Source organism: Homo sapiens, chromosome 12 (genome assembly GCF_000001405.40).
Source record: "Homo sapiens chromosome 12, GRCh38.p14 Primary Assembly".
Classification (NCBI taxonomy): domain Eukaryota; kingdom Metazoa; phylum Chordata; class Mammalia; order Primates; family Hominidae; genus Homo; species Homo sapiens.
Genome location: NC_000012.12, coordinates 106,608,887 through 106,629,399, shown reverse-complemented (window position 1 = coordinate 106,629,399; position 20,513 = coordinate 106,608,887). Strand labels below are relative to the sequence as shown.

Sequence of the window (20,513 nt, the reverse complement as noted above, 5' to 3'; positions counted from 1 at the left end):
CCCTTTATCCAGCAGCCCCAGGTCTGTGAACTGATCCTACAGCTTTACCTGGACACATCCGAAACGATGCATACACAAGGTTATTTGTTGCAGCTTGTCTGTAGCAGCAAAAGTTTGGAAACAGCCCAGGTGTTCATCTGGGTAACTAAATTAGAATGCATCCTCACAATGGGATACTATGCAAGTATTTTTTTTTAAAGATGAAAACCAAAAAAGAATGAGGACGCTTTCTATGTTCTTACTGATATGGAACATTCTGGTTTTTATTATTAAGTGAAAAAAGCAAGTCACAGCACAGTGCATATAGTATGCCACTTTTTTGTGTTAAAAAGGTAACAAATGGCTGGGCATGGTGGCTCATGCCTGTAATTCCAGCACTTTGGGAGGCCAAGGCCAGTGGATCACTTGAGGTAAGGAATTCGAGACCAGCCTAACCAACACGGCAAGACCTTGCCTCTACAAAAACACAAAAATTAGCCAGGCATGGTGGTGCATGCCTGTAATCCTAGCTACTCAGGAGGATGAGACAGGAGAATCACTTGAACCTCAGAGGTAGAGGCTGCAGTGAGCCGAGATGGCACCACTGCATTCCAGCCTGTGACAGAGCGAGACTCTGTCTCAAAAAAAAAAAAAAAAAGGAACATATATTTGAATTTTTCATTTGCATGAGGAAATACTCGAAGAACGTGTAAGTAACAAAAGTGTTAATACTAGGAAGCTGGGGTAGAGTGTTGCAGGGGGAAGTTGGAGGTGAGACCAGGACTTCTCAATGAGTACCTTTTAAAGCATTTTGATTGTTGGACCATATGGCTGTATTATCTATTCAAAACTATTCTAACTTTTAAGCATGAACAAATTAAAAAGACCCTATAGGGGAGGGGCATCCACAGGAAGAATCTACTCAAATGGATAAGTGGTCCTGGAGTGCCAAAAACTGGAAGCAAATTATAAACACCCATAATCTAGGGAGGCTTTATGGTCTATTTTGTTTTCCTAATATCCATATGCTTACTGAGCACCTACTATGTACCAGGCCCTACTATGTTAAGTGCTGGTGAGATACAGTCAGACATAGTGCCTTCCCCTCAAGTATTTTGGCCCCATGGAGAGACTAAATGGAGGGTGGAGGGGCCCTGGCCTGGCAGTGTGCTCAAAGCCCAGAGGAAACGGTATGTCCTTCTTCCCCAGAGGAGTGGGGAAGGTAAGCTGGTGAAGAGAGGACAGATAGACTGACACTGCGGGCAGAATGGGCAGCCCTTGATGACACTGTGGGCATGGAGGTGAGGAAGGGGAGGAGCCAAGGAGGTCATCTTAAATCACAGCCTAAACACTGGGGCCGTGCCAGCCAGCTAGCAGTCTCGAACCTGGGTTCCCAGCCAGCACTAAAACTGCAGCAGACACCCCATGGGGGCAATCCAATTCTTTGCAAGTGTCCCAGGAGGTCTCTCCTGTTGAATCCTGTCCTGGACTCTCAGTGTTGCCCTAGCTCTAGGAGCTGCCTGAACGCCTTTCTGCTATTGGCAGGGCATTTGGCCTACATCTCAGTGGAAATACAAAACAGCTCCTGACCACCCTGAACTTCCTTCTTCTCCTGGAGACATTCCATCTCACCATAGTCTTCTCCTCTCCACAACAGATAAGGCCGAGCAGTTCCTTCCGTCTTTTTTAGTAAAGAATTTCAAATAAGGTTTAATGACATTTCCTCTTCTCTGGAAATCTTTTTATGAAGTTATAAGAAACCAAATTGGATAATCAACTAAGACATGCTGAGTGAGGTGAATGGAGTGAGAGAGAGATGTAACTTCCATTTACGTAGCCTTGAATTGTGATGTGTTTTGTTTTGTTTTGTTTTGTTTTTTTCTGAGACGGAGTTTCACTCTTGTTGCCTAGACTGGAGTGCAATGGCGTGGTCTCGGCTCACTGCAACCTCTTCACCTCCCAGGTTCACGGAATCCTCCTGCCTCAGCCTCCCAAGTAGCTGGGATTACAGGTGCCCGCCACCATGCCTGGCTAAGTTTTTCATTTTTAGTAGAGACGGGTTTTCACCATGGCCAGGCTGGTTGTGAACTCCTGATCTCAAGTGATCCGCCTGCCTCGGCCTACCAAAATTCTGGGATTACAGGCATGAGCCACTGTGTCCGGCCCGCAATGATATTTTAATACAATAGTGATGAGTCACCTTAAGTGGTGACCCCAGATTTTCTATGCCATCATGCCACTGAATTAGAACTTTTCCCTACCATTTGCTATAGATATCCTCTGTCCCCACTGGACAGTCAGTAACACAAGAGAGTAAAGGAAGAAGTGTACACTCAGAGTGAGGAACATGGTAAGACAGGAGAATGGCAGTGGCTAGGAGCTGTGAAAGGGCAGAGGGAACGGGACACAGCATGGACTGTCTCAGGAGAGGAAGAGCCTCATTCCATACATTCCACAACAAACATGCACACATGCATGTGTGTGTCTGATACCTCGTGGAGGGAATTGGAAGGTTCTGGACTCCCGCCTAGGATACAGGATGGAGTCATTTCATTTAGATGTTAAGGAAATGGTGACCTGAAGACTAGAGGACTTGAGCACCTCTTGGTTACATTTGACTTATTCTGTCTCTGAAAGAGGGAAACAGGAATCCCAAAGAATCCCATTGGGTTCCTGCTCTTTGGACCCATCCTATCCTCCCAGTTTCTCCAATTTCTTCAAACCCTCTAACACCTGCCTAGTCTAAGGCCTCAAACTTGGAGTAGGTAGCAGCCCTGATGTGTCTGCTGGCTTGAATCCACCTGCATAGAACCTCCACGCCAACCTTCTGAAAACACCACTTTGATTTGTCACTCCTCAGCCAGCTCCTTCAGTGGCACCTCAGACCTCAAACTCTAGACCCCTTGTTTGGAATTCAGGTCCCTCAGTGATGTGGCCCAAACTCATTCCTAGCCCTATTTCCCATGATTCTTCAACCTCTCTGTTCAAGCCAATCTGGAAAACTCTCCAAGCTCAAGACCAGTCTCGTAGCTTTCTGCCTCCCCCGATTTTCCCATCACTGCAGGAACCACATGGATCCTTTGAGGCCCAAGGCAAATGTCACCTCCTCCAAGATGCCTTCCCCAGAGTCACCTTTCAATCTTGTGACCTCTCCCAGACTTTAGCATGCATAATTAGTAAATCATCTGCAAGTATTGTTAAAAGGCAGAGCATGTTTCAGTGAGTCTGGGATGGGCCTGAAATACTGCATTCCTAACAAGCTTCCAGGGAGGTCTATGCTATAGGCCAGGATCACTCTTGGTGTGGCAAGGTCTTAAGTACAACTCATATCATTTGAATGAAGTCAATCACATATGGCCTTGCATTGTTAATATTCAAGTATGTGCCTTAACTTCTCTTCTAGATTGAAAATTCATTGAGAGCAGGGATCCATGGAAAAGACAGTTTATGTAGTCAAAAGAGAGCCAGCAATAAAATCAGATAGCTCTAAATTAAAGTCTTAACTCTACCACTTACTTGCTATGACATTGAACAAGTCACATAATCTCTGAATCTCAGTTTCTTCATCTGTAAAATGGGGAGAAAAAATACTTTCCCTCCAGAGGATTAAAAGAAATCATGGTTGTGATTATGCCCAGCATACTGCCTGGTGCTGAATATATTTTAATATTGGCTCCCTCCTCTTTCTTTCATTATATAATTTTGGGATTTCCATGGAGTCTAGCATGTAGTAGGGGCTCAGGGAATCTTCTGGGCCCAACTTTTGCAGAAATTTCTGTTCTACCCATACAACTCTGTCTAATCCACACTGCTGAGCTTTCCTCTCTGTATATGATGCTCCAACAGTCACGGACTTTTTAATATTTTACAGTCACAATCCTCCTGTTTGTTGGTGAGTATGCCATGAGAAGCATACATATCTACTGACATCTACTAGGGGAAAAATGCAATTGTTTAGATTGGAAGTGAGAATTCATGAGACCTGAATTATGGTAAATAACCCATCCACTCTTGCTCGGTTTCTTCACCCATCAGGCATTTAGGACTTGACCCCACTGGTCCAGGGTTTTCTTTCCAACTGCATTCCATCAAAAAATATCAGTCCCATATCACATTTCCTCACGCTTACTGAATCTCTAGCGAATCAACTGAATCAATCTTTTCTGGGTTGCTAAAGGGACGTAACAGAGCATTTGACAGATATCAGAAGACCTCAGTAACAGTCCTGATTCTGCCACTAACTAGGAGTGTGATCTCTGGCAAATCACATCCCTTCTCTAAGCCTCAGTTTCCTTAACTGTAAAACAGGAGAGTTGGGCCAAGATGATCCATAAAATCTCATACTATTTTATTCTAGGCTAACAAACTGAATAGTCTCCCATTCCGAGCAACACATTTTCATTTTGACCAGGTCCCTGGTGCTGATACTGAAAGGCTCATGCCAGAAAAAGCAGTCCTCTCAGTGGGTAGAATCTTGACTTCTCTGAAATCACACCCCGAGAAGGCATTTTTTCAATTGGCCCGGTCCAGAGATACACTCTATGGCAGGCCAGCCAATAGCCAATCGTTAATTTTTTCCTGCTTGCTAATCAAACCCCAGTTTTATCCAAGGCAATATTATGATAGCCCAAGAGGTAAACCATGATTTTTCTAACCAAGAGTTGGTAAGCTTTTTCTGCATAGAGCCAGATAGTAAATATTTTAGGCTCTGTGGGCCACATATGGTCTATTCCTTTTCTTCTTCTTCCCCCCTCCGCCCCGCCCAACACTCTTTAAAAATGAAACAAAAAAAAAGCCCGGGCGAGGTGGCTCACGCCTGTAATCCCCACACTTTGGGAGGCTGAGGCAGGCGGATTATGAGGTCAAGAGATTGAGACCATCCTGGCCAACATGGTGAAACCCCATCTCTACTAAAAAAAAATACAAAAAGTAGCTGGACGTGGTGGTGCGCTCCTGTAGTCCCAGCTGCTCGGAAGGCTGAGGCAGGAGAATTGCTTGAACCTGGGAGGCAGAGGTTGCAGTGAGCCAAGATCGCGACACTGCGCTCCAGCCTGGTGACAGAGTGAGACTCCATTTCAAAAAATAAAATAAATAAAATAAAATAAAAATGAAAAAATTATTAGATCATGGGATGTATAAAAACAGCCCAAGGCTAGATTTGACCTGTGGTCAGTCCAATTATCATAATCTTATTCTTTGGACAAATCCTCTTTCATCCTTCCTTTCAGCTATAAATGATAGAGTTCTGGACAAAACCAACGTAAAATAAGTCTGTTGAGGGCTTCTGGGAAAGATTTTGTTGTTTTCTGATAAAAGAGAGACACACAAGAAGAAAAGTAGCTGGCACCTCCCCTTGTTCCATTTTATTGTCTTAAATGTGGACCTGATGCCTGGACCTGCAGCAGCTGCCTTGTGATTATGAGGTACTAACTCGGGGACAAAATACCAACAATGTGGGGACTCAGCAGAAAGACATAAACAGCCTGGGTCCTGGAGGATGCTGAGTTGTTGAATAAACCCCGGAGCCTACTCCTTCCCATCTTCGGTTAAATAAAATAATAAATATCTACATCATTTAAATCATCAGGTTTCTGTCTCTTACAATCCAAAGCATTCTGCTGGATTTTTGTTTTTTTGAGATGGGGTCTCACTCTGTCACCCAGGCTGGTGTGCAGTGGCATGATCTTGGCTCACTGCAACCTCCACCTCCCTAGCTCAAGCATTCCTTCCAACTCAGCCTGCTGAGTAGCTGGGACCACAGGCCAAAGCATTCTTAACATGCTAAAGCAGAGTGGTTTTTTCCCTCGTAAGTAATTTTTAAAACTTCAACCATGTCCTGTGCCAAGTACTGGGGTTACAACAGTGAACCACACAACATTTCTGCCTTCTTGGGGCTTTCTAGTCTAGTAAAGGAGATGACAAGGCACAATCAAATATTGACACTCCAGATCAATCACTAAGCAGGGGTGATGAGCTCTACTCTTGGTGTTCCTACTGGCAAATTATGAAATCTCCAGTGGCAAGTCTTTGAAACGTGAGGGTTCATTACTTTCTGAGAGGTAGACAAGTGCAAAAAACACTATAAAAGACTAATGCTGGGTCAGGCACAGTGGCTCATGCCTGTAATCCCAGCACTTTGGGAGGCCAAGGCGGGCAGATCACGAGGTCAGATTGAGACCACCGTGAAACCCTGTCTCTACTAAAAATACAAAAAATTAGCCAGGTGCAGTGGTGGGCGCCTGTAGTCCCAGCTACTCGGGAGGCTGAGGCAGGAGAATGGTGTGAACCCGGGAGGCGGAGCTTGCAGTGAGCCGATTTCATGCCACTGCACTCCAGCCTGGGTGACAGAGCAAGACTCCATCTCAAAAAAAAAAAAAAAAAAAGACTAATGCTGAAAGGCAGACATATAGACCTGAGTTCAAATCTCAACTCTACCACTTACCAGCTATGTGACTTTGGGCAAGACTCTTGACACCTGCTAGGGGGAAAAAATGCAATTTGGGCAGGGTGCAGTGGCTCATGCCTGTAATCCCAGCACTTTGGGAGGCCGAGGCAGGCAGATCACCGAGGTCAAGAGATCGAGACCATCCTGGCCAACATGGTGAAACCCCATCTCTACTAAAAATACAAAAATTAGTTGGACGTGGTGGCACGTGCCTGTAGTCCAAGCTGCTCAGGAGGCTGAGGCAGGAGAACTGCTTGAACCCAGGAGGCAGAGGTTGCAGTGAGCTGAGATCACTGCACTCCAGCCTGGCAACAGAGTGAGCTAGACTCTGTCTCAAAAAAAAAAAAAAAAAATGCAGCTTGGAGTGGGCTAAGGACTTGAAGGGAATTTGAATGCAAGTATGCTTGAGCTTCAATTTCTACATATGTAAGCAAAAGCTCATAATCATAAGCCACCTCTTTGGACTATTGTGAGAAAGAAATGAGATCATGGAATTAAAGCACTTCTCATTGCTCAATAAATGATAGCTATATATACATATTAACTATAAATATATACATATATACAATTTTGCTTAACAATAGTATTCTTAGAAAGAAAAAAGACTGGAAGGAAACACAAAAACATCAAGAATGGTTATCTCTACATAGTAGGATTAGAGGCAATTCTTTTCTTTCCTCAGATATTTTTCCAAATATATGTACATGTAACTTACAGTTGTGGGACTGTAAGTTATATTATATTTTTTTAAAATATAATCTTTGTGTTTTGAAAATAAATGCAAAATGTGAACTGAAACTTCTTTATTCTTTTATTTGGACAAGAGTCAGGTGGCCCATGTTCTAGATCTAGCACTGGTATTGACTTCTTGTATAAGCTTAGAAAGCCACTTCACTTCTCTAGGTCTCAATTTCCTTGTCTAAGAGTTGTTGATAATCAGACTTCCAGTTCCCTCCATGATAAAGTAGCTTGCACTAGATTAACTCACCCACCAAATTGTAAAAGCTAGATAAAATATACAAATAGCTATTTGGAAACATTGGAGAGCAATAAATGCAGACAGGACTAGAGGAACTACAAGCCTTGAAAGAAAGGAAGCACCAGAAGTAAGCTCTACAGCCACCTTGGCGTTTTCCCGAAACACCAAGATCTTTCCAAAGATCTTTCCCGAAAGATCTTTCCAAATTGCTACACTGGGAAATGGAACCCAAGCAAAGAGTATAGTCTATTGAGCTAAGGAGAGTTTGGGGATGACAGAGTAGCTAATATCTAAGGAGCAAAATTCCAAAGAGAAGAGAACTTTAAACAAAGAGACAAACATACTTGTATTCAAATTACCCCTCAAGTCCTTAGCCCACTCCTAAGCTATACATGCAGATTGAGAAAACAAGAAATTGAGGGAAAAGTAGCAGCTTAGAGACTAAAGAGCCAATCATTAATTGGTTAGGGTTGGAGTCCAAGCTGGGTCAAAGTAAAGGGAAGTCGGTAAACACCCAGTGCTTTCAGCAGTGAACCCAGAAAGGCCAGGCTTTAGGAATAAAAACCACACCCTAGTAGTACAGACAAAAGTGAAATAGACTAGACTTAAGCAAGGCTTGACAAGATTAAGGAGATCTGCTAGCTCTCTCTCTGCCTGCTAGAACAAAACTCAACACTTGCTGTGTTGTGGGAAGTCAGGGACCCCGAACAGAGGAACCGGCTGGAGCTGTGGCAGAGGAACATAAATTGTGAAGATTTCATGGACATTTTTCAGTTCCCAAATAATGCTTTTATAATTTCTTATGCCTGTCTTTACTTTAACCTCTTAATCCTGTTATATTCGTAAGCTGAGGATGTACGTCACCTCAGGACCACTGTGATAACTGTGTTAACTGTACAAATTGATGGTAAAACATGTGTGTTTGAACAATATGAAATCAGTGCACCTTGAAAAAGAACAGAATAACGGTGATTTTTAGGGAACAAGGGAAGACAACCATAAGGTCTGACTGCCTGTGGGGTCAGACAAAAAGAGCCATATTTTTCTTCTTGCAGAGAGCCTATAAATGGACGTGCAAGTAGGGAAGATATACTAAATTCTTTTCCTAGCAAGGAATATTAATATTAATATTCCTTGGGAAAGGAATGCATTCCTGGGGGGTGGTCTATAAACAGCCGCTCTGGGAGTGTCTGTCTTATGTGGTTGAGATAAGGACTGAGATATGCCCTGGTCTCCTGCAGTACCCTCAGGTTTACTAGGGTGGGGAAAAACTCCACCCTGGTAAATTTGTGGTCAGATCGGTTCTCTGCTCTCGATCCCTGTTTTCTGTTTTTTAAGATGTTTATCAAGACAATACATGCACCGCTGAACATAGACCCTCATCAGTAGTTCTGCTTTTGCCCTTTGCCTTGTGATCTTTGTTGGACCCTTATCAGTAGTTCTGCTTTTGCCCTTTGTCCTATTCCCTCAGAAGCATGTGATCTTTGTTCTGCTTTTTGCCCTTTGAAGCATGTGATCTTTGTACCTACTCTCTGTTCTTATATCCCCTCCCCTTTTGAAACCCTTAATAAAAAACTTGCTGGTTTGAGGCTCAGGCAGGCATCACGGTCCTACCGATATGTGATGTCACCCCCAGTGGCCCAGCTGTAAAATTCCTTTCTTTGTACTGTCTCTCTTTATTTCTCAGCCAGCCGACACTTATGGAAAATAGAACCTACGTTGAAATATTGGGGGTGCGTTCCCCCAATATTGTTGGAGAAAGCTAACATCCTTCACCCAGAGGCTCTGCAACTTTGCATTCATAATGTCCAGCATTGGATAAAAAACTATGAGGTATTATTGAAAAACCTCAAAAGGACCAAAAATACCTGAAATCCAAGAAATAGCCAGATAATAGAAATAGATCCAGAGATAATTCAGATACTAGACTTATCAGACAGGAACTTTAAAATAACCATGGATAATATGTTTGAGGAGATAGAGAAAAATATGGGCAAATTAGAGGAAATGGACAAAACAGAAGAAAAAATGGAGAATATCAATCAAGATTTAGAAACTATGAGAAAAGAATCAATTGGACCACCTACCACAGAAGAATACAATATCTGAAATTAAGATCACTTGGATGGGCTTAATAGAAGACTAGATATGATAGAAAATGGGAATTTAGAACTGAAAGGCAGGTCAATTAAAAAAATACAAAACTGAGGTACAAAGAGATGAAGATGGACAAACCAGAGCAAAACATAAAAAAATGAAGTATAATCGAAAAGTCTAATATTCATGTAACTGCAGCTCCAGAAGATGAGAATAGTGAGGGAGACAAAATATTTGAAGAGACAATGGCAAAGAATCTGCAAATTTGATGAAAGACAACACACAGATTCAAGAAGCTCAGTGATCCCCAAGAAGAATAAAAACAAGAAAGCCATATCTATGCACATCATAGTCAAACTACTGAAAACCAAAGGCAATGAAAAAATTTTTAAACCAGCCAGAGACAAAAAGACACATTGCATTCAAAGGAGTAACAATACATCTGATGACTAACTTTTCAATAGACATTTTTGGACCCCAGAAGACAGTGGAATGATAACTTTAAAGTGTTGAAAGGAAAATTAAAATTAAAAAAAGTCTCACCAACCTAGAATTTTATCACCAGCAAAAATATCTTTCAAAAATATATGTGAAATAAACATGTGTTTCATGATCTTCAGTATACTACACAGTATGATAATAAATCTGCAAGGAATTTATCTGAGTTAAAGAAAAAATGATTCCAGATGGAAGCATGAAACTGCTGCAGGAGAAAGAACCCTGGAAAGGGTAAATTTGTGAATAAATAAAAATAAATATTAACTGCTTAAAACAATAATAATTATGCCTTGTGGGGTGTATAACACTTGTACAAGATGTATCCATTAAAACCAGAGCTCAGAAGGTGAGAAAGAGGAAAATGAGGTTAAAATGTGATGGTGCTCTTTCACTGAGCTTGAAGTGGGGGAAGAAGTAATGTGAGGTAGATGTATTAATAATAATTAGTGAAGAATGCAAAAATGCATATTGTAATCCCTAATAGAACCACTCTAAAAGAATGTATAATTGAAAAGCTAGCAGAAGAAAACATCAAATATTTTTAAAAACTCTATTAATCCCTTCCCAAAAAGCTAAAAAGTAAGAATAAAGGAATAAAGACAGATGGGAAAATAAAAAATAAATAGTAAGTTTGTTGACTTAAACTCAATAATGTCAGTAACAATATTAAATTTAAATGGTCTAAATTCAAAGATTATCAGACTGGGTTTTGTTTTTCAAAAAAGCTATAGTGAAAAACTTTACTAAACTAAATGTAGTAAGATTATATAGTAAGATTGAAAATAAAAAGATGAAAAAGATATACCATATCAACCCATGTATAAAGAAAACTGGTGTAGCTGTATAATATCAGACAAAATAGACTTTAAAGCAAAAATTCTTACTAGAGAAAAGGTAGAAATATTTAACAATAATAAAAAAGTCATTTCAATAAGAGGACATAGCAATCCTAAATTTCTAAGAAATTAATACTTCAAAATATATAAAGTAAAAATTAACAAAGCTAAAAATATCGATAGCCATAACCATAATCAGAGCTGGAGATATTAACATACCTGTCATAGTAACTGAGAGAACAAACAATAGCAACAATAAAACAGTAAGGATATGGAATATTTAAATAACATAATTAACCAACTTCACTGTTGTTAATCTATAACATATGTTATCTATAACATATAATCTATGTATATAATCTATATACATATGTATATAATCTATAACGTATGTTAATCACATAACTGTTATCTATAAAACACTCCATCCAGTATACATTCAAAATGTACATTCAAAATGCAAAATACTCATTCTCCTCAAGTGCACATGGGCATTAACCAAAATAGACTATATGTTGGGACATTTAAAATATACATTCAGCTGGGCGTGGTGGCTCACACCTGTAATCTCAACACTTTGGGAGGCTGAGGCAGGTGGATCACTTGAGGTCAGGAGTTCAAGACCACCCTGGCCAACATGGTGAAACCTCATCTCTACTAAAAATACAAAAATTAGCCAGGCATAGTGACAGGCACCTGTAATCCCAGCTACTTGGGAGGCTGAAGCAGGAGAATCTCTTGAACCTGGGAGGCAGAGGCTACAGTGAGCTGAGATTGCACCACTGCACTCCAGCCTGTGTGACAGAGCGAGGCTTTGTCCCAAAAACAACAACAACAAACCCAAAATGTACATTCAAAATGCAAAATATACATTCTTTTCAAGTGTGCATGGACATTAACCAAAATAGACTATATGTTGGGACAGACACTAAGTCTCAACAATTTCAAATTTTGAAATAATACAGAATGTGTTCTGTGACCACAGTGGAACTAAAAGAGAAATCAACAACAGAAAGACAATTAGGAAATCTATGAATGTTTGGACATTAAGCAACAGATTTCTAAATAAACCATAAGTAAAAGAAGAAATCACAATAAAAAATTGAAAATATGTTTAACTGAACAATAATGAAAGTGTGATATCAGAAAAATGTTGGGATTAATTAAGCAATGCTTAGAGGAAAATTTATGACTTTAAATGTATATCTTAGAAAAGGTTGAAAATCAATAATCTAAGCACCTATCTCAAAAGCTAGAAAAAGACAGCAAATTAAACTGAAAGAAAGTAGAAGGAAGAAAGAAAAATAAGAGCAGAAATGAATGCAATTCTTAAAAGATATAAATTGAGAAAAACAACAAACCCAAAAGTTGGACCTTTGAAAAGACTAATAAAATTGATAAACCCTGGCAAGACTGATGAAGAAAAACAGAGAAAACATAAATTGCCAATATCAAAAATGAAAGAACATCAACATAGATGTCAAAAACAGACAAAAGTGGCCAGGCACAGTGGCTCACACCTGTAATCCCAGCACTTTGGGAAGCTGAGGCAGGCAGATCACAAGGCCAGGAGTTCGAGACCAACCTGGCCAACATGGTGAAACTCCATCTCTACTTAAAAAAAAAAAAATACAAAAATTAGCCGGGCATGGTGGCGCACACCTGTAGTCCCAGCTACTCAGGAGGCTGAGGCAGGAGAATTGCTTGAGTCTGGCAGGCAGAGGTTAAAGTGAGCTGAGATCACACCACTGCACTCCAGCCTGGGAGAAAGAATGAGACTCCGTCTCAAAAAAAGTAAAGGCAAAAGTAATAAAAGGAAAGTTTGAACATAGTGTAAATAAACTTGAAAATTTAGATGAAACAGATTCCTTAAAAGTAACAATTTACTAAAAGTAAAAAAAGAAATAAAAATATAAATAATCCAATAACTATTTAGAAAATTGAATCCATCATTAAAAACTTTCCCTCAAAGAAAATTCCAAACCCAGTTGTTGAATTCTTCCAAACAATTAAGAAATAAAGAATACCAATCTTATATAACTCTTCAAAACAATAGAGACATAGGAAACTTCCTACCCCTTTTCATGAGACCTCTGTAATCTTGACACCAAAACCTGACAAGAACATAATAAAAAAGAAATATCATAGGCCACAAATCTCATGAACATAGATGCCAAAATCCTTAACAAAATCCAGCCTGAAATATATAAAAATCACACCCAGAAGTATATAAAAAAGATAATACTCTGACCAAGTGTGATTTATTACAGGAATGCATGATTGGCTTAACATTCAAAATTCAACCGATGTAATTCCCAGTATTAATAGAATAAAGGAGAAAAATATATGATCATCAAAACAAATGTAGAAAAAGTGTTTGATAAAATTCAACACCCATTTAAGAAAAGTCTCTCAGAAAACCAAAGATAGAAGGGAATTTTCTCAACCTGATAATGAGTATCTACAAAAATCCACAGCAAACATCTCACCTAATGGTGAAACACTAAATGCGTTCACCACTTAGGTTGGGAAAAAGGCAATGATGTCCACTATCACCACATCACCTCAAAATTGCACTAGAGAACCCAGCCAGTACATAAGACACACAAAAGAAATAAAAATACAAAGATTATAAAGGAAGGTGCAAAGCTGTCATTATTCTCAGGTGACATGATGATGTTCATAGAATGTTCAAAAAATGCAAATTTTAAATTAATAAGCACATTTAGCAAAGTGGCTAAATATGAAGTTATTATCTAAATAATTGATTATCATATGCTAGCAACTAACAATTAGGAAAAACTTTAAAATATTACTACTTACATTAGCATTGAAAAACATCAATTATCTAGGAATAAGTCTAAAGAAAGATGTGTAAAATCTCTACAGTGAAATCTACAAAACACTGCTGGGAAAAATTAAAGATGATCCAAATACATGGAGGCTCTAATACAACATATATTAATTGGAAATTTGATGTTGTTAAGGTGTTCTTCCCAAATTTATTATAGATTCAATGCAATCCCCATCAGAAATCCTAGCAGGTATTTTGCATATGTGAAAAAATGACAACTAATTCTAAAATCAATATGGAATTGTTAAGAATGTAGATTAACCAAAACAATACTGAAGAAGTAAAGAAGAACAAGAGGTCTTATGCTACCAGATATCACGACTTATTTTATAGGTGCAGTAATAAAGACTGTAGTATTAGCCCAAAAATAGACAGTAAGACCAACAGTTTGGAATAAAAGTCCAGACCCAGATCCAAATATATATAATCTGCCAATTTATGATGAAGGCACCACTGAAACTCAGTGGTTAAAGAGTGACCTTTTCAAGAAATCGTGCTCTATCAGTTGAAAATTAATAAGAAAAAAAAGAACTTTGATTACTCCTTCACACCATACACAAAAGTTCCAGATGAACTATTGATATAAAAATGAAAGGTAAAATAGTAAAGCTGCTAGATGATATGTTAAAAAGACCTTCATGAACTTCAGGTAAGCAAAAATTTCTTAATAGGATACCAAAGCACTAACTATAAAAGAAAAACATTAATTAAATTTTATTAGAATTGAAAACTTGTGTTCATAAAAGTTATTATGAGAATATAAAAGCAACCCACAAACCAGGAGAAGATATTTGTAATACTTTTACCTGACAAATATTAATATCTCCTATTCAAGATATAAAACCAACTCTTACAAACCTTTAAGGAGAAAACCAACAACATAATTTTTAAAAACACACAGGCGGCCAGGCGTGGTGGCTCACGCCTGTAATCCTAGCACTTTGGGAGGCCAAGGCGGGTAGATCACGAGGTCAGGAGATCGAGACCATCCTGGCTAACACAGTGAAACCCCGTCTCTACTAAAAATACAAAAAAATTAGCCGGGCGTGGTGGCGGGTGCCTGTAGTCCCAGCTACTCAGGAGGCTGAGGCAGGAGAATGGCGTGAACCCAGGAGGCGGAGCTTGCAGTGAGCCGAGATCGCGCCACTGCACTCCAGCCTGGGCAATAGAGCGATACTCCTTCTCAACCAAACACACACACACACACACACACACACACACACACACACACACAGGCAAAAGACGTGAAGAAGGGCCGGGCACAGGGGCTCACGCCTGTAATCCCAGCACTTTGGGGGGCCGAGGCAGGTGGATCATGAGATCAGGAGTTCGAGACCAGCCTGGCCAATATGCCGAAACCCAGTCTCTACTAAAAATACAAAAATTAGTTGGGCATGGTGGCATGTGCCTGTAGTCCCAGCTACTTGGGAGGCTGAGGCAGAAGAATCACTTGAACCTGGGAGGCAGAGGTTGCAGTGAGCTGAGATCATGCCACTGCACTCCAGCTTGGGTGACAGAGTGAGACTCCGACTCAAAAAAAAAAAGACATGAAGAGGTAATTCACAAAAGATACAAATGTCTAATGAGCATATAATAAGATGCTACAGTCATTATTTATCAGAAAAAATGCAACCAAAATGACATATGCTATTCACCCATGAAAATAGCTAATATTAGAAGGAATGGCTATCCCAAATGTTGGCAAGGAAGTGAAACACTGAAACTTATAAATTGATAGTGGGAGTCTAAATTGGCACAACTTTAGAAAACTGTTTCGGCAGTATCTACTAAAACTAAATATACCTATACATTATGATCTAGCAATTCTACTCCTGGGAACATACCAACAAAATAAGTGCTCATGTTCACCAAAAGATATACAAGAATGTTCAGAACTCTAATCCTCAAACTCCTTCAAAATAATGAAAGAGGAGGGAACATATTCGAATTTATTCTATGAGGCCAGCATTATCATGATATGAAAGCCAGACAAAGATACTACAAGAAAAGAAAACTACAGACTAATATCCCTTATAAATATTGATGCAGGCCAGGCGTGGTGGCTCACACCTATAATACCAGCACTTTGGGAGGCCAAGGAAGGTGGATCACCTGAAGTCAGGAGTTGGAGACCAGCCTGGCCAACATGGTGAAACCCCATCTCAACTAAAAATACAAAAAATTGGCTGGGTGTGGTGGTGGGCGCCTGTAATCCCAGCTATGTGGGAGGCTGAGGCAGGAGAATCGCTTGAACCTGGGAGGCAGGGGTTGCAGTGAGCCAAGATTGTGCCATTGCACTCCAGCCTGGGCAAAAGAGTGAGACTGCATCTAAAAAAAAAAAAAAATTGATGCAAAAATCCTCAGCAAAATACTAACAAACAGAATTCAGCAGCATAGTAAAAGGACTACAGATCATGACCAAATGGGATATATTTCTTGAATGCAAGGATGGTCTGGCATACAAAATCAATAAATACATTATATTGATTGATTTTTGTTTGCCAGACCATCCTTGCATTCAAGGAAGGAAAACTACATAACCATCTCAACTGATGCAGAAAAAGCATATGACAATACTCAACACCATTTTATGATAAAAGCACTCAATAAACTAAGAACAGAAGAGCATTACCTCAACATAATAAAGGTCATATATAAAAAAACAACAGCTAACGATGGTGAAAGACTGAAAGCTTTTTCTCTAGAATCAGGAACAAGACAAGGTTGCCTGCATTCACCACTTCTATTCAAAATAGTACTAGACGTCCTAGCCACAGCAATTTGGCAAGAAAAAGAAATAAAAGCATTCCAAATTAATAAAAAGGAAGTAAAGTTATCTCTTTTCACAGATGAAATCATCTTTTTTTTTTTTTTGAGACGTAGTCTCGCTCTGTCACCCAGGCTGGAGTGCAGTGGTGCAATCTTGGCTCACTGCACCCTCTGCCTCCCAGATTCAAGCTATGCTTGTGCCTCAGCCTCCCAAGTAGCTGGGATTACAGGTGCCTGCCACCATGCCCAGCTAATTTTTGTATTTTTAGTAGAGATGGGGTTTTGCCATATTGGCCAGGCTGGTTTCGAACTCCTGACCTCAGGTGATCCACCTCCCTCGGCCTCCCAAAGTGCTGGGATTACAAGTGTAAGCCACTACACCTGGCCGAAATGATCTTATATGTAGAAAACCCCAAAGATTTAACACATACCCAAACACAAAAGTACTGTTAGAACTAATAAATGAATTCAGCAAAGTTGCAGGACACAAAATCAGCACACAATAATCAGTTGCATTTCTATACACTAAGAATGAGCAATCTGAAAAGGAAATTAAGAAAATTTCATGTACAATAGCATCAAAAAGAATAAAATACTTAGGAATAAATTTAACCAAGGAAGCAAAACACTTGTACACTGAAAACTAGTAAATGTTGTTGCTGAAAGAAACTAAAGACACCAAATAAATGGAAAGACATCCTGTGTTCATGGACTGGAAGACTTACTATTAAGATGTTAAAACTATCCAAAGCAATCTACAGATTCAATGCAACACCTATCAAAACCCGAGTGGCATATTTTTTTTTCCAGAAATAGAAAAATCCATTCTAAAATTCATATGGAATCTCAAGGGACTTTGAATAGCCAAAACAATCTTGAAAAAGAAGAACATGAAAGGTCACACATTTCCTGATTTCAAAACTTACTACAAAGCTACAGTCTAGTTCTGTCATAAAGACAGACATATAGACCAATGGAATAATATGGAAAGCCCAGAAATAAACCTCCACATACATGATCAAATGTTTTTTGACAATGGTGCCAAGACATTCAATGGGGGAAAGAATAGTCTTTTCAACAAATGGTGCTGGGGAACCTGGATACCAACATGTGAAAGAATAAAGCTGGACTACAGCAGGCACAGTGGCTCATGCCTGTAATCCCAGAACTTTGGGAGGCTGAGGGGGGCAGATCACGAGGTCAGGAGTTTGAGACCAACCTGACCAACATGGTGAAACCCTGTCTGTACTAAAAAAATACAAAAATTAGCCTGGCGCAGTGGCATGTGCCTGTAATCCCAGCTACTCAGGAGGCTGAGGCAGGAGAATCACTTGAACCTGGGAGGCGGAGGTTGCAGTGAGCCGAGACAGCGCCACTGTACTCCAGCCTGGGCAACAGAGTGAGACTCTGTCTGAAAAAAAAAAAAAGAATAAAGCTGGACTCTTACCTAATACCAGATACAAATGTTAGCTCAAAACAGATCACGAATCTAAATGTAAGGTCTAAAACTGTAAAACTCTCAGAAAAAAAAAAGGCGAAAACTTCACAACATTGGATCTGACAATGATTTCTTAGATATGACACTAAAGGCACAGACAACAAAAGAAAAAATAGTTAAATTGGATGCATCAAAATAAAAATTTCTGTGCATTAAAGAACACAATCAACAGAGTGAAAAGGCAACCCATGGAATAGGAGGAAATATTTGTAAGTCACATAACTGATAAGAGGTTAAGATCCAGAATATGTGAAGAACTCCTACAACTAAACAACAGAAAACAACCTGATTTTAAAATGGGCAAAGGACTTAGACATTTCTCCAAAGAAGATATGCAAATGGTGAATAAGCACATGAAAAGATGTTCAACATCACCAATCATTAGGGAATTGCAAATGAAAACCACAATGGGATACCATTTTATATTCATTAGAATGGCTATTATTAAAAAAAAAACAGAAAATAACAAATGATGACTAGGAAGTGGCAAAATTGGAACTCTTGTGCCTTGCTAGTGGGAATGTAAAATGACGCAGCCACTATGAAAACCAGTTTTGTGGTTTCTCAAAAAATTAAACACAGAGTTACCATATGATCCAACAATTTCATTTCTGGGTATATACCGCCAAAAGAATTAGGAGCAGAGACTTGAAAAGATATTTGTATGCCTGTGTTCAAAACAGCGTTATTTACAGTGACCAAAAGACAGAAACAACTCAATTGCCCATCAATGTCTTAATGGATAAAGAAAATGTGACATATCCATACAGAGGAATATTATTCGGCCTTCAAAAAGAAGAAAATTCTGACACATGCTACAACATGGATTAACCTTGAAGGCATTATGCTAAGTGAAATATGCCAGTCATAAAAAGACAAACACCATATGACTTCACTTATATAAGATACTTAGAGCAGTCAAATTAACAGAGGCAGAAAGTAGAATAGTAGTTGTCAGAGACTGAGGGAAAAGGAGAATGAGGAGTTACTGTTTAATGGGTACAGAGTTTCAGTTTAGGAAGATGAAGAAAGCTCTGGAAATGAATGGTGTAGATGGCTGCACAACAAGGTGAATGTACTTAATGTCAATGAATTGTACATTTCAGATGATTAAATACTAAATTTTATGTTATGTAGATTTTGCCAAACTTAAATAAAACTTAGAATGTTCAGATATGTTTCATTCTTTTTTTTTTTTTTTTTTTTTGAGATGGAGTCTCACTCTGTTGCCCAGGCTGGAGTGCAGTGGCACAATCTTGGCTCACTGCAAGCTCTGCCTCCCAGGTTCACGCCATTCTCCTGCCTCAGCCTCTCGAGTAGTGTTTTATTCTTAATAATCAAAAACTTGAAACAACTAAATATTCATCAACACTTAAAAGGATCTGTAAACTGTGATATACTCATACAGTGAAATACTATACAGCAATGAAAAAGAAATAACTACTGCTAGAGACAACAAGATGAATGAATCTCACAGACATTATACTGACTGAGAAAAGTTACACACAAAAGAATACAGAGTCCATTATCCCATTTACATGAAGTTTTAAAAGCAGGCAAAAACGGGCTATAGTGATAAGTCAGGACAGTAGTGATTGACAGGGAGGAGACATGAGGAAGCCTCCTGGGGGACAAGAAAGGTTCTATATCTTTTTTGGGTAGTAATGACACCAGTGGATACAATATGTAAAGAAAAAAAAAACCCCATCAAACTAATTACACAAGATTTGTATACTTTATGTTCAATGTAGCTCAATTTTATAAAATGAAGTGACATGGTGATGATAGAATGACAATGCCAGCTAAGACTCAGGAGGGGGCTATTGAGTAGATCTAGCAAACATGCTAGGGGATTGTGGAGCAGGTGGGCCGGGGCTCATGCTTTCAGAAAACTGAACGAAGGAGATGCACTTTACCAACCATGGAAGAAAGACACTTCTGACTCTGCAAAAAATTAGACTTATAATAAGCTGATCCCTCTTTTTTAGTGTTTAAGGGAAAAAATACAAGTCCCATGTAGCCTACTGCTCTTAATATAGCACCCAGAAGCCCCAGTCTGACATAACACAGGACAAGGTGTAAACACAGGATGATACATCTTTCAGTTAACTCTAGCTCTCTAGTCCAAGAACCGGAAGAAATTTCTGCTTTCTGATATCAAGGACATTTATGGCTAAAACAACTATCCTGTGACACAACTACTTTGAACCCATATTTACAGTGGACACTGAGAATGGCCTTTCCCAACCAGGGTCCACATTTGCCCGCCTAGAGCGTCACTATAACAAGGTTTTTGGGAATGCAGGCTAGCAAGTCTCCTGCAGAAGATGAGTATGTAAACAGCAAGTTTTTGCTGTGGTCTTAGTTTCCAGGTCTTCCTGAATGGATTCCTCTCCCCATTGTGGAATATTACAGAGAGGACCTGGGATATTTCATAAATAGCTAGAGAGTGTCTTGTTCCAGGTGACTTGGCCCAGCCTAGCAATCTAGTGGCACTACCCTCCCATCAGGACATTGGCCATGTCTGGGATGTCATGGAAGAATGAGTTTCAAGCACT

General features: G+C 39.5%; 1 protein-coding gene and 1 long non-coding RNA gene across 3 annotated transcripts in view; one reads left to right on the top strand and one right to left on the bottom strand.

Annotated features, from left to right (window-relative positions):
- Window positions 1–20,513, top strand: part of LOC100287944 (uncharacterized) — a 278,422-nt gene that overhangs the window by 145,432 nt on the left and 112,477 nt on the right. The window lies entirely within an intron of this gene.
- Window positions 1–20,513, bottom strand: part of RFX4 (regulatory factor X4) — a 179,800-nt gene that overhangs the window by 133,404 nt on the left and 25,883 nt on the right. The gene's annotated exons all lie outside the window — the stretch shown is intronic.